The sequence below is a fragment of the Homo sapiens genome, chromosome 14, assembly GCF_000001405.40.
Source record: "Homo sapiens chromosome 14, GRCh38.p14 Primary Assembly".
Lineage (NCBI taxonomy): Eukaryota > Metazoa > Chordata > Mammalia > Primates > Hominidae > Homo > Homo sapiens.
The window spans coordinates 51,532,700-51,546,958 of NC_000014.9; the positions used below are offsets into that span (position 1 = coordinate 51,532,700).

The 14,259-nt window shown below is 37.2% G+C and overlaps 1 protein-coding gene and 1 long non-coding RNA gene across 14 annotated transcripts in view, besides 2 other annotated features; one reads left to right on the top strand and one right to left on the bottom strand.

Moving 5' to 3' along the window:
• The window catches only part of FRMD6 (FERM domain containing 6), a 334,297-nt gene that overhangs the window by 136,269 nt on the left and 183,769 nt on the right, over positions 1–14,259 (top strand). The window lies entirely within an intron of this gene.
• The window catches only part of FRMD6-AS2 (FRMD6 antisense RNA 2), a 145,441-nt gene that overhangs the window by 78,188 nt on the left and 52,994 nt on the right, over positions 1–14,259 (bottom strand). Inside the window, exon 4 of one of the 2 annotated variants that reach the window (NR_047477.2) lies at positions 13,930–14,121. The exons of the other annotated variant lie outside the window; for it this stretch is intronic. This is a non-coding gene — a long non-coding RNA (FRMD6 antisense RNA 2). Of the gene's footprint in view, positions 1–13,929; positions 14,122–14,259 lie in introns of those variants that run through there. 2 annotated transcript variants of the gene reach the window in all.
• Positions 1,493–2,692: an enhancer, noted in NCBI's record as "MED14-independent group 3 enhancer chr14:52000910-52002109 (GRCh37/hg19 assembly coordinates)". NCBI's record gives its function as "activates an origin of replication core promoter dependent on BRD2, BRD4, P300/CBP and CDK7 cofactors, and independent of MED14, by STARR-seq in HCT116 cells {active_cell/tissue: HCT116}" and the evidence as "EXISTENCE:reporter gene assay evidence [ECO:0000049][PMID:35650434]".
• Positions 1,952–2,246: an enhancer, noted in NCBI's record as "tiled region #6575; HepG2 Activating DNase unmatched - State 8:EnhW, and K562 Activating non-DNase unmatched - State 24:Quies". NCBI's record gives its function as "activates a minimal TATA promoter and a strong SV40 promoter by Sharpr-MPRA in HepG2 cells, with weaker activation in K562 cells {active_cell/tissue: HepG2 | K562}" and the evidence as "EXISTENCE:reporter gene assay evidence [ECO:0000049][PMID:27701403]".

Here is a 14,259-nt window from a genome sequence, read left to right on the forward strand (position 1 = left end):
ACCTACATTGACTGAAACTCTTGAGGACAGAGTTTGTACTTAGTTCTGTCATTATTTTCAGAATCATTTTTCTCTTTTTGCATTACAAGCTTCAGATCTGGCCCACAAACTGACCTTCTCAACAGTAATAGTAGTAAGGAGACAGAGCTCAGTCCTAAGTTATCCTAAAGCTCATTCAACCCCATTTTGTAAATCTTTGTCAACCCAGTGCTCAGCACATGGCCTGGCACTTAGTGGAATGTCAGTGAATGTTGTCAATGTCATCCAGCCCTTTGAGGGCTGCAATACTGCTATTAGCTCACTCTGAATAATGTATCTTTAGAACAGTCCAGAAAATGTTATGTCCTACAACCAATAATGGTCTCTGCCTCCTCCATGTCTTGCCAAGTGCTTAGGTCACATACCTTTTGCAGCTCTCTTGATTTTACCTAAGTGTAGCCCAATGACAAAGAGAGGACCATTCAGAGGAATTACAATGCCAGATGAACAAAGCCAAGACCTACTTAGGTTTTTGCTGGGCTTCGAGGAGTCTGGGTTTTTTTCTGGGGTGGGGCAGGCTGATGGTAGGGAACTGCTCTGCTAGAGAGGCTTTGGCAATTACTCAGAGATGTTTACAAGGATTTATTTCTTAGAGTGGTTTGATTTCCAGAAAAATTGCCTTTAAAAAAAGCTGGATAAAACAGGTTCCACATTACACTTGTATGAGTTGTCCTGAATGGCATAAATTATTTTTCCTGAGGCTATTAGCTCAGAGTCTGAGCAACACACTGGTGTTTTTACAGGAGTCTAATGCATAGAGATTACGGCTGACTCTCCATTTTATATAATTCCTGACCTAGTACTGAGTCTCACCAAATGTTGATGATCTTCAACTCATTCAGCAACTGGGAAATAATCACATTCAGACATTTCTACCAGGCTTGTCATAGCTACTAATGCCATCCTTTAAAAAGGAAATACCTTCTGAACCCTATCAATAAATGTAAAAAAGAAATACCCTTCTGAACCCTATCAATAAATGTCGTGGTCTCAAGATGACATTGCCAGGCCCTTAGACCCAGGTTTCCTGTTTCCTCCTAGGATGCCACCCCTGTTCCACTTTCAGAGAGCGTCTCTGGGTCTTGGCTGAGGTTGTGCCTAGTGAGTTCTTGTCACTGCACACTGACAATAACTCCCCTCACTTGCAGTTTTCCTGGTGGGCTACTTTCTTCAATGTGGATCCTTTTATCTCTTTCAATTATAGTAAGACCAATAGGAAGAAAGTCTTTTGGGGAACAGCAGAATTGCAGCTTCTAGGTGGGTGGGGAAAGGACCTAATTCACAGCCTTGGGTTGACTGGTTGTTGCATGTGCCTGGGCAGCTCTGCCAGTGCCTTGCACAACCAAGGAGTCAAGTCTATGGAGGGTGGGGGTACACAGGGAACTCACCCTGCTCCTGTCTGCCTGTAGGGACAGCCATCCACATAGTTCAAACGGCTGTAGATCTCAATTCATTCTAAAGTCTACTAACTGGTTATGTTTTCTCGAACCACATGCTTAAACCAACTTCTTCCACATAAGCAGCTTTTACCCATATAATATCACTATTACAGGGAGGAAAGATTTTGTCACTCTACCCATGGTAATGTGTGATGTAGTCACCAGTCCTCAAAGCTTAATTACAACAGTGCTGCATGATTGGAGATTGAGTTGTTTCTTATGATGGTTGATTTTTTTATTGGACAAGGGCTTAGAGCCTAGCTATAGGAAGTTGTTTCTTTTGGATACAATCCTAGAAGTTTTCCTTTTAAAACATTCTTTCTACCTTTCCTATTTTCAATACCTATCAGGTCTATGTAAATATCACCGTCTCTCTCTTCTTTGCCCAGACAGCTGTCACACTATTTAGCTTTTCCTTCTATAACATTCTACTTAAAGAGGTTGCCAGTGTCACTTTCCCTCCTCTAAAACTGGGGATTAAAATTCCCAGCCTTCCAGAACAGGTAAATAATTGCTTTGTCATGAGAAAAATCAATATCTGCTACCACAGGAAGTCGGGCAGGAAGCAGTTGGACAAAGGCCTGCACTTCAGCTGTGCAGCAGAGTCATTTGTGTGACCCCAAAGGTTATGCTTTCCTGCTTGTTTTACAAAAAGCTGATGAGCCAGGCAGAGGAACCAGAGTCCAGATAGGACTAGAAGTATGTGCCAGGTACTCTCCAGTGGAGAACGCAGGGCCCCGGGGCAGCCGCTCAATTAGATGTATTGTTGACCCAAGGTGAGATTCAAGAGGAGATAAAGACTTTCAGGGAAAGGGAAGAGCAGTGAGCAGTTCACCCACATTCCCCACCAAAAGTGAACTACTCAGATATTTTGCAGTTTTCTCTTCTAATGCTCAGGGAGCTACAAGGACATTTTGAGCCTATTCAGTCATCTTTTGATTGAAATCAGGGAAACTCAGTACTCTCATGGCTTCCAGGGTCCTCAAACCTTTCTAGCCCCACTTAAAAAAAATAGCTTATTGAAATATAATTTACACACATAAAATTTGTCCCTTTAAAGTATATAATACAGTGGTTTTTAAAATATATTCACAGTACGTACAACCATCACACAATCAATTTTAGAACACTTTTACCACCTCAAAAAGAAACCCTATACTGTTTACCAATCATAATCCTATTCTCCCCTCACCCCATCCCTAAACAACCAATAATCTATTTTCTGCTCTATAGATTTGCCTATTCTGGACATTTCTACTTTCTATCTCCACAGATTTGCCTATTATGGACATGGAATATGTATAGTCTTTTGAGACTGGCTTCTTTCACTTGGCAAAATATTTTCAAGGATTATCCATGTTGTGGCATATATTAGCACTGTGTTCCTTTTTATGGCCAAATAATATTCCACGATGTGGATATACCACATTTTGTTGATCCATTCACCAGGTGATGCACATTTGGGTTGTTTCCATTGTTTGGTTACTATGAGTAACGTTGCTATAAACATTCATGCACATATCTTTGTGTGGATACATGTTTTTAATTCTCTTGGAGTGAAATTGCTGGGTTATATGTTTTGAAACACTGACAAACTTTCCCAAAGTGGCTGCTCCACCTAACAATCCCACCAGCAAGGTATGAGGGTTCCAATTTATCCACATCCTTGTCTACACTTATTATTGTCTGATTTTTTTATTTTAAGCTTTCCTGGTGGATATGAAGTGGGTCTGATTTGTGTTTCTTTTGTGAATAATGATGTTGATCATCTTATCATGTGTTTATTGACCTTATCATTAAACACATCTTGTCATCTGTTTATTCTCCTATGGTAAAATGTCTATGCAAATCCTTGCCCATATATATATTATATTATATTGCATTATATTATATATATATTTTATATATATATATATATATAGAGAGAGAGAGAGAGAAACAGGGTCTCACCCTGTTTTCCAAGCTAGGGTGTGTTAGTGTAATCATGAATCACTGCAGCCTCACCTCCTTGGCTCAAGTGATCCTCCCACCTCAGCCTCCTGAGTAGCTGGGACTACATGCCCATGCTACCATGCCTAGCTAATTAAAAAAAATTGTAGACACAGGGTCTCACTATGTTATCCTGGCTAATCTTGAACTCCTGGCCCCAAGTGATCATTCCTGCCTCAGCCTCCCAAATTGCCAGGATCACAGGCATGAGCCACTGCAGCTGGCCTCTTGCCCATATTTTTAATTTATTTATTTATTTTATTTTTTTTAGAGGAAGTCTCGCTCTTGTCCCCCAGGCTGGAGTGCAATGGCATGATCTTGGCTCACTGCAACCTCTGCCTCCTGGGTTCAAGCGATTCTCCTGCCTCAGCCTCCCCAGTAGCTGGGATTACAGGTGCCTGCCACCACACCTGGCTAATTTTTGTATTTTAATAGAGACGAGATTTCACCATGTTGGCCAGGCTGGTCTCGAACTCCTGACCTCAAGTGATCTGCCCGCCTTGGCCTCCCAAACTGCTGGGATTACAGGCGTGAGCCACCGCACCTGGCCTCTTGTCCATATTTTTAAAAGTTTTTAGAAAACATCTTACTTTCTAGTTATGATCATTCATAAACCAGCTGAGCAGTTTTAGGGAGAACACTTTACATGGTGGAGTGATATGGATAATGGAGTTTGTTTAATATGTTTGGGTGGATTTCTTTTAAATAGGCTTTTTAAAAAGCAGCTTTAGGTTCACAGGAAAATAGGAAGGTACAGAGATATCCTGACTACCCCCTGCCCCCCACACACAGTCTCCCCAACTATCAACATTCCCCACCAGAGTGGTACATTGGTTAAGACTGATAAATCTACACAGATACATTATCATCAAAGTCCATAGTGTATATTAGAGTTCGCTCTTTATGTTGTATATTTTATGGGTTTTGACAAATGTACAATGATGTGTATCCACCATTGTAGTATCATACAGAATAGTTTTACTTTCCTCAAAACCCTTTAGTGCTTTTCCTATTCTTCCTTTCTCTCAGACATTGATCTCTCTGTACTTTTGCATTTTACAGAGTGCCATCTAGTTGTAATCATACAGCATGTAACCTTTCCAGAATGGCTTCCCTCCCTTAGTAATATACATTGAAGTTTCCTCCGTGTCTTTTCATGGTTCAATAGCTCATTTGCTTTTAGTGCAGAGTATTTCATTGTATTGGACGGACCACAGTTTTTATTTATCCATTCACGTACTGAAGGCTACCTCGGCTGCTTCTAAGTTTTGGCAGTTATGAATAAAGCTGCATAAACATCTATGTGCAGAATTTTATGTAGACTTAAGTTTTCATTTCATTTGGGTCAATCCCGTGGAGTGTGATTTCTGGATCATATGATAAGAGTGTTGTAAGTTAGTTTTGTAAGAAACAGCCAAACTGTCTTCCAAAGTGGCTATCCTATTTTGCATTCTCTGTAGCAATGAATGAGAGTTCCTGTTGCTCCACAACCTCACCAGCATTTGGTTTTGTGTTTTGGATTTTGGCCATTGTAATATGTGTGTAATAGTACCTCACTGTTGTTTAAATTTGCAATTCCCTAATAACGTAGGATTTTGAACATCTTTTCATATGCTCACTTGTCATCTATCTGTACATCTTCTTTGGTGTGGTGTCTCTTCATCTGCTCATTTTTTCACTTGGGATGTTCGTTTTTTATTGCTGACTTTTAAGATTTCCTTATGTATTTTGAATAACAGTTCTTTATCAGATATGTCTTTTGCAAATATTTTCTCCCAGTCTGTGGCTTGTCTTTTTGTTCTCTTGACAGTATCTTTCACAGAGCAGAAGTTTTAATTTTAATGAAGTCTAGCTTATCAATTATTTCTTTCCTGGACCATGGCTTTGATCTTATATCTAAAAAGTCATCACTGCACCCAAGGTCATCTAGATTTTCTCTTGTGTTTTCTTCCAGGAGTTTTATATTTTTGCATTTTACTTTCAGATTTATGATCCATCTCGAGTTAATTTTTGTGAAAGGTACAAAGTCTGTGTCTAGATTCATATTTTTGTATGTGTTAACTCTGTACATTTTAAAATTGGGTTGTCTTTTTTATTGTTGAGTTTTAAGAATATATATTGTAGTTATAAGTCCCTCACTTGACTTATCTATGATATGAGAATATTTTGTCCCATTCTGTGGGTTTTTTACTTTTTCGGTGGTGTACTTTGAAGCACAAAAGTTTTTAATTTTAATGAAGTTCCATTTATCAATTCTTTTCCTTTGTCACATGTGAATTTGGTGTCATAGCTAAGAAATCATTGCCTAATCCAAGAACAGGAAGATTTACTCCTGTTTTCTTCTGAAAGCTTTATAGTTTTAATGCTTGTATTTAGGTCAATTATATGTTTTGAATTAATCTTTGTATTTGGTGTGAGATATTGGTGTAACATCATTCTTTTGAATATTGATATTCAGTTGTTCTGGCGCAATTTATTATAAAACTATTCTTTCCCCATAATTTTCCTGGCACCCTTGCCAAAAATCAACTAGCCACCTAAGATAATAGGGTTTATTTCTAGACTCTCAGTGCTACCCCATTGATCTGCGTGTCTATCTTCACAGCAGTACCACAATGTCTTGATTACTACAGCTTTGTGGTAAGGTTTGAAATTGGGAAATATGTCCTCTGCTTTTTCATTTTAGGATCATCTTGTCTATTTTAGGATTATCTTGTCTATTTCTACAAAGGAATAATCTGGGATATTGATGGGGATTGTGTTGAATCTGTAGATCAATTTGGGGAGTTTTGCGTTCTTGGATGGTTCATTGCTAGCATCTAGAAATACAATGGACTTTTATATATTGATCTTGTATGGCAAAACCTGGTTGGACTCAGGTATTGGTTTTAATGGGCTTTTTCTATTTTTGATGGGTCCTGCTTCCACTTTGCACTACTCTCCTCATTTCTGAATTCCACCGTTTTTGACCTTTTTTCAATTTCTCTAACACACTAAGCTCCCCCTTGTCACAGGGCCTTTGCACATGCTGTTTTCTGTCTGGATGTCACCCTTCTGAATTCTTCCACCTAGTTAACTATTTTTCACCTCTCCCTCCCTGAGCTGCCCCCACCTCAGTCCATGTCTGTCCCTTTTGGGAAGCCATCATAGTACTGTGTTTCTTCTCAACATTTACCTTAGCTTATGAGCTCATTTGTGTTATATTTTGACCAATGTCTATTTCCCCAGCAGACAGTAAGCCTCTGTTTTTCTCATTATTATATTTTTCAACATCTACATAGTGCCTGACACATAGTGGATGCTTAACAAGCATTTTTTGAAAGAAAAAAATGAATACATAGATAGCATTGGGAACATGCACCTATCACAAAGAACTTTGGGCAGGTTGGTAGGGGGAGCAAATTTAAAGTTGGGCATACCATCTATGTAACCAATTCTGGCTTCCTTCTGGGCAATTACATTCCAGAATGGAATGTGATTGTCTGGGAGAGCAGAGGCATTGAGTATGTAGCCAGTAACGTGGTTCCCCCAACCCCCACCTTTCTCTCTCTACTAAAGTTTCTTGCCTTGTGGTGGGAAACCCAGAAAGAAAAATCCAGCCATCTGAGTCATTTGCAGATGACTTCTTTGTCTGCTTCTTACCTTTCCTGAGGTACAGCTGACTTATGAGGGTGGGGGGAGTAGAGGAAGGTGGGGAGTTGAAAAGATTCATTTACTTTCCTTACCAAATTAGTTCACTCTAACAAAAATAGGGAAATCCCCAACCAGCTGTTCCAGTGACTAGCAAGAAAAATATTCTCTTGGAACACTCCAACAAAAGGCACACTTTGTGTGCTGGCTGTCTTAAAAAGAATGCTTTAGAGCCTTCCAACTATTGCCCACCCTGAATGCTTTATAAATATCAGTGGCAATAGTTAGAACGTGTTTTTTTTCTTAATTGAAATTCTAGTGCTTTGGTGATGGCATAGATCCCCAGAATCAGGAGAAACATTGAGGGTGATAGGGAACCAAGAGAAGACTAGCTCAGGGGCCAAAAAAATGGAGCCAAGATATGGTGGGGCTGCCACTTGTTGGTGTGTGACAAACTTTCTGCCCTATTCTTGGAATCCATGTTCCAGTTGTCAGGCCGGACAGAAGGAAAATGTTTGCATACAGAGAAAGAAGGTTGGGAAGTAGATATTTTTCACTTTGATGTATATTTTAGATGTTCCTTATGCATCTGAAATGGGGTTTTGCTTCAGGTGTTTTGAGACCTTTTACCCGTGGTGAAATATTGTATTGTGAAACTGCGACACCATCATGATAGGGGCCGTGCTGTTTTGTCTTTGGGTCTTCATTGGCTACCACAATGCCTGGCTTAGAGTAGAGGCTCAATGAAAATTGGACAGAATGTCTTAAATAAGATGATTCATGGCAAACTTGCTTTGCAAAGTAGATTTTACAGCCCTGTGAAGTAAGCTCACTTCCTGTGTTTTTTATTTTGTCCTGAGGCTCATCCTTTTTATCTTCTGTGCCACAAGATACAAATATTTATAGTACTTAATTTTTAGTTGGAGTAGATAATTTATTATAAATAAATTCCATGAGCAAATAAATGAAATAATTGTTTTGCTGTCAATAAAATTTAAAGGAAAATGATTCAAAAGTGAAAAATATAGCTTACTAGTCATGGTTTTTCAATGCTTTGTCATAGGAAATTTTAAAATACTAGGAATTCATATTGAAACAAGAATGGAAAAGGAAGTTTATGAAAGCACAATACTCAAATCCATTTACTTTTTTAGACTAATATATTAAGGTAAACACCATGCAAGAAGTACCCTCTCTTAACTTTCCTCCTATTTCAGAATACTTCTCTATTAAAAGAACAAAATTACAACTTGAGTCCCTTCTTCTGAACTCTGCAATTTCCCTATCAGTTATGTTGATGTGGGGTGTCTTAGAGCAGAGGTTTCTGAGTACTCATAGGCAAGTTTCCAGTTGCTTCCTAACAATATTGCCTGGGACAAAATAGAGACAGAATTCTAAGTTGGGATGACTTTACTTGAGTTAAAAAATTTGCAAATTGTTACAACCTAAATGGGTCTAGATCATTGAACTTGGGTTTTCTTAGATTTCCTCTATTCTCAAAGCTTTGCTTATCATGTACATGCTATTTTGGTTCCATAAATATTCACTGAGCATTGACTGAAGTACTCATCTAGATTCTGGGAAAAGGGCAATGAATAACACACAAAACTCCTCTTCTCATGGAGTTTATATCCTGGTAGAGCTTATTATTTTCCCTATAGTAAAATGAAATAAAAACAGTATAAATCTCACAGCGCTCCTCTTAGGATTCAATGGCGGGGTAGGGTAAGGAGGTGGAAGACAAAAACTGAGAGACAAAACATCTGCTGGCTTTTCAAGGATCTTGGCTGTGTACGGATGTAAGAAAAGGTTAAGGGAGACCCATTGTTAGGATGCAGACATGTAGGCATGGTTTTTAGGTGGAAGGGAGGAAGCACTAGAAACAAAAATTGCTGAAAACATGAGAGAGAAGAAAAGAATGAGGTCAAGAGTATAGGAGAGATTAACCTTGATCAGGGAACAGAATTGTGACTCCAGATGTCACAGGAAGAGTTCTGAGTGGAGAGACTGAAGGTGTTTTTATGTAACTAGGCCCTGGAGTTGTGTCATTTAAAGTTGTGAATGGTTTCCCATATTAAGAGGTAGGAACTTTGAAGGTTAATGTGTGATGTCCCTGAGGCATTTTCCTGGCTAGATTATATGGTATAAGGTTTTTATCATGGAAGTAATTTAAATATCCCTAGAAACAGTACACCAATGTTTCTCAGAGTTTGTTCCCAATACCACCTGCATCACGTTACTGTGGTACTTATTAAAACTACACGCTCCTAGGCCCCATACCAGGTGCTTCAAAATAGGATCTCTGGAAGCTGAACTTTGAAAGTTTCATTTATTATTTTGGTAAAATACACACAACAAAATTTCCCATTTTAAAGTATAAATTCAACAATAGTATATTCACAGTGTTGTGCAACCCTAATCACAATCTGCTTTCAAAAACATTTTATCACTCCAAAAGGAAATCCTATACCCATTAAGCAGTCACTCCTCATTCTCTCCTACCCGCAGTCTGACAACTACCAATCTGCTTTCAGTATCCATGGATTTGCTCATTCTGGATATTTTCTATAAATAGAATCATATAATGTGTGGCCTTGTGTGTCTGGCTTCTTTCACTTATCATAATGTTTTCAAGATTCATCCATTTGTATCATAATCCAGTGCTTTCTTCCTTTTTATGGCTGAATAATATTCCATAGTATGATATGCCACATTTTCCTTATTCAGTAATTTGGCAATAGACATTTGGGTGTTTCTTTCTTTTGTCTATTGTGAATAGTGCTTCTATGAACATTTGTGTACAAGTTTCTGTTTTAACACTTGTTTTTCATGAGTATATACCTAGAATTGCTGGGTAACATGGTAATTCTATGTTTACCTTATTAAAGAAATGCCAAACTGTTGTATACAGTGGTTGTACCACTTTACGTTTCCACCAGCAGCAATGTGGTTCCAATTTCTTCGTGTCCTCACCAACACTTATTATACTCCATGTTTAAAATTATAGCCATTCTGAGTGAGTGTGAAGTCGTATATGACTATAGTTTTAACCTGCATTTTCCTAATGACTAGTGACATTGAGCATCTTTCCATATACTTCTCAGCCATTTGTATATCTTCTTTGGAGAAAATTCTATCCAGGCCCTGTGCACATTTTTTAACTGCATTGTTTGACTTTTTGTTGTTGGGATATAGGAGTTCTTTATATAATTTGCAAATATTTTCTCCCATTCTATGAATTGTCTTTTCACTCTGTTGATAGTATCCTTTGATGAACAAAAGTTTTTACTTTTGACAAAGTCTAATTTATCTGTTTTTTATTGCTTGCAGAAAGGCACCCAAGTTGATTATGATTTTTATGACCATGATTATAGCAGTAAAACAACTAATCTTGCACTGACAGTATTACCAAGATCCTATCTGTTGAGGATAGTATATTTCTGATAGCTAGATTTGCTTTAGGTGTATATATGTAAGAGTATCAAAAATTATGCCCATTCATTTACCTGTGTCTTTTTCAATTAAAAGATACTTTTTATTAGCATAAGTATTTCCCTTTAATTTTGATTATAAATAAATTTCATGCCTTATTTAGAAGGGTTAAAGAAAAATAAAAAACAAAACTGCTAAGTAGAAATTGTTTAGCTATCATGACTTACCTGTTATAGTTTCATTGGTCTAAGCATTTACTTTTATATAATCTGTTTGCATTTCACATTTACTTTGCTCATCAAAAATTTATTGAGCATCTACCACATGCTTGATAATATGCCAAGCACCAAAGATAGGAAGATAAAAAGACCTGATCTCTGTACTCATGGTTTTCACCATCTTGCAGGACACAAGAACATAGATGCTGAAAAGATTATACTACACAGGAGATTTCTATAGGAGAATGAGACTAAAGTGCTGTGAGATCACAAAAGAAAGAATTGCGAACTGTATTCTTTTGGTGATGGGAACTCAAAAGAATTATTTTGGGCAAGGGAGTTCCATGAACTCATTTAATTTTTTTGAAATGTAATTCTGGCAGCAATGTAAGCGTGGACCGAACTAGAATAGACCAAAATCAGGCAGTGAAGTCAGTAAGAATGGGTACTTTGGAAATGAATTCGCACCATACTCTTGTTCAGCCCTTAGAATTGTTCTAAAATGTTTTAGATATTGCTGTGACGTAGGTTTCTTGAACTCTTATTGGGGAAAGTTTCAAACATATAAAAAATTCTTTCATGTACCATCAGCACAGCTTCAACAGTTATCAAAAACATGCCCAGTCTCATTTCACTGATTGTCCCCCATAGCCCCCTTCCCAGGTATTTTGAAGCAAATCTCAGACATTATATTATTTCATCTGTGAAGATTTTTATGTAACTCCAACAGATAAGAACGCTTAAAAAATATCTCAATAATATTATCCTACCTAAATAAAGTTAATAATACTTTATTAATGGAATGAGGTTTTTAAAACTTAAGGATTTATGTAAATATTCACATATAAAATTCTGTATTATTTCTTATGGAGAATTTTTTTCCTTAATACCTTTGGTAAGGGATGCAGGAGTGATTGAGTTTCTTAAAAACTAAAATCGTTCTTCTTCAAATACATACAAAATATACAGTTCTCAGAGCCACATCAGTTATTAGCTCTTTTATTACATGTGTATAATAGGGAAGTTTCTACTTTGTTATATACTCATAGTTTGAAAACAATATGTATAAGTTGAGCTGTTGAGGAATTTTCCTTTGAGATTTTTTTTTACTCAATAATAATTCCTCACGTTTGTGTCATGCCTTGAATTCTCCAAAGTGCTTTCATGTCTATTATCTAGTGAACTCTGAGAGTTCTGCTGTGCAAAGACGTCTATTATCTACTGTTTACAGTTTTTTTTTTAATCAATTTTACTTTGTTGCGGCTTTTGGGCTTGGAATGAAATAATAAACAATATATGCAAAATCCTCTACTTGCGAGCCAAGAGAGACTTTGTAGTCAAGCCTGCATAAGGATGAAAGGAAATTAGTGTAACATCTCATCAGTTATAATTTACTTAATCTTCTGTAGTATGGGAATATTTGGCATTTATACACACACACACTACACACACGTGTATAAGGATTTTAAATCCATAATTACAACTCAGTATTTTCCATGGGCTCAAAACCCACCTATAAATTTCCCGAACCATTTGGAAAGGGTTGTATTAATAGTAAGATTAAGAAACATGGCAACACATGAATTAGGAAGGGTTTGGGGCTGAAACATTCCAAGAGATCACTCATAATTGATGCCCCATCCTTTTTATCATTCTTTAATTTTTGTTAACGTGCCCAGACATGCACTAGACACAGTTATCTTCAAAACATTCTGTAGTAGAATAGCTTGGTGTCTGTTAACCGAAGACATGATACAAGCATCATATTTAATATCAACTTTTGCTGTTCACCCATAAAATACAGAACATTGAAGCACTCTTTTTAAACACAGCAAAAATCTGCCCCATGATTAGAAAGGAGTACAGAGGTTGACACTCCACTCTGTACTCCAGAGGTGTGCTCTGGAGTAGTACAAACGGGTTTACAAACTGCTAGAGTTAAGGAAGCTGCATGATCTGTCTTCCGATTTAGTTTCCTGCAGTGGTGGACTGGAGTCTATTTTACCTGATCCAAAGAGCTGATGTTAAATATGCAAGAATTTTGCAAACTAGTATTTAAACTGTCAGTTGCTTGAAATCAGCCAGGGTGGGAGTATTTACACCACAAAAATGAGTCAACTGTCAATCTGGCTTCCCTCTCATCCCCCAGAGCCATTTTACCAGCACACCACTGCCTCCCGGGTAAGTTTAAGGATAAAATGAGTTAGTTTATGTAAAGCGCTTTTCATAGAGCTCCCCATAGACAAAGCATTCAGTAAATGCTAGCTACCATTATTGTTATTATTATTTGCCATTGAAAATAAATGCAGCCAACTCTCAACTGTTTATCAAATTGATAAATCATCTATGTCCTATGTTTGTTTGCTTTTGTCCCTATTTGACAATTTTACTAGCAGCATACAAGGGAATATGTTCGGGCATAGGAAAAAAAAGCAGTGAAATCCTAATCAATCCATGGTAGTGCTTATTATTATAGCATTGTGATCTTGACAAAATATTTGCTGAGAGAGAAAGAATTAAAGTTGAAAAAAATGAAAATGGGATTATATCTAAATTTAAAATATTCACTCTATTTTTGTCTTCCTTAAAACAGCTCATCGAAATTCCATTATAAATAGAAAATGATAAAATAATAATTTTGAACAATTGTAGAAAAATATGACAAGTCTGTATTTCAGTGATAAATCATAGAATTCCTGACACACATTATCTTAGGCCAAAAAGGGAATTATTGGTTCTTGTAAATCTCAAAGGTAAAAATCAAAGGATAGGTCTGTGTTTGAACACACCTTGATGCAGGATCACATTAGGCCATGAGTGCTCGGTTTCTCTGGCTTCTATTAGATTATTGCTATTTCCAGTCTCCACGTGGCAGCCTCAGCAGCTCCAAACTCTGCCTTTAAAGTGGAATGCTCTTCCCAAAATCATGTCTCTCAGGAAAGAGAAACTCTTTTTTTTTTCTTTTTTTAAATAGTTCCTGTAAAATTCCTGAAGTTTATTTTGATTGATCTGGCTTTGGCCACACATCTGATGCCAGTTTGGGAGAATATCTAATGGGGTAAAGGTAATTTATTTAAAAAAAAAAACTGTAAGAGTATATCTAACAGGGTAAAGGTAATTTGTTCCCCCTCCCCATCAAAAAAAAAAAAAAAAAAAAAAACCTGTGGTGTTATTACACTAAGATAAAATGGATGTCATGCAACCAAAATACAATTGTCTACTCCAAATTATCTTCATTGTAATTGAATTCATGTTGATGGCAACTCATGTATACATGTAGAGCTAGCACACTGCTTTCTCTTGGAACACAGTTCTGATAATAACCTTCTCAGATCAAGTTTCAGCCCAGGGCACTTCTGAAGCCATTAAAGACCCTAGTCATAAAGAGGCAAAAATAGAGATAGTATCACTACAGGAACTAATTTGAGAAACCCGGGTAAAAGAGTGTTTTAAAAAGCAAATGCTAGCCAAAAAATAATTTATAACACCTCCTGCCAGGCAAAGTTCAAGTT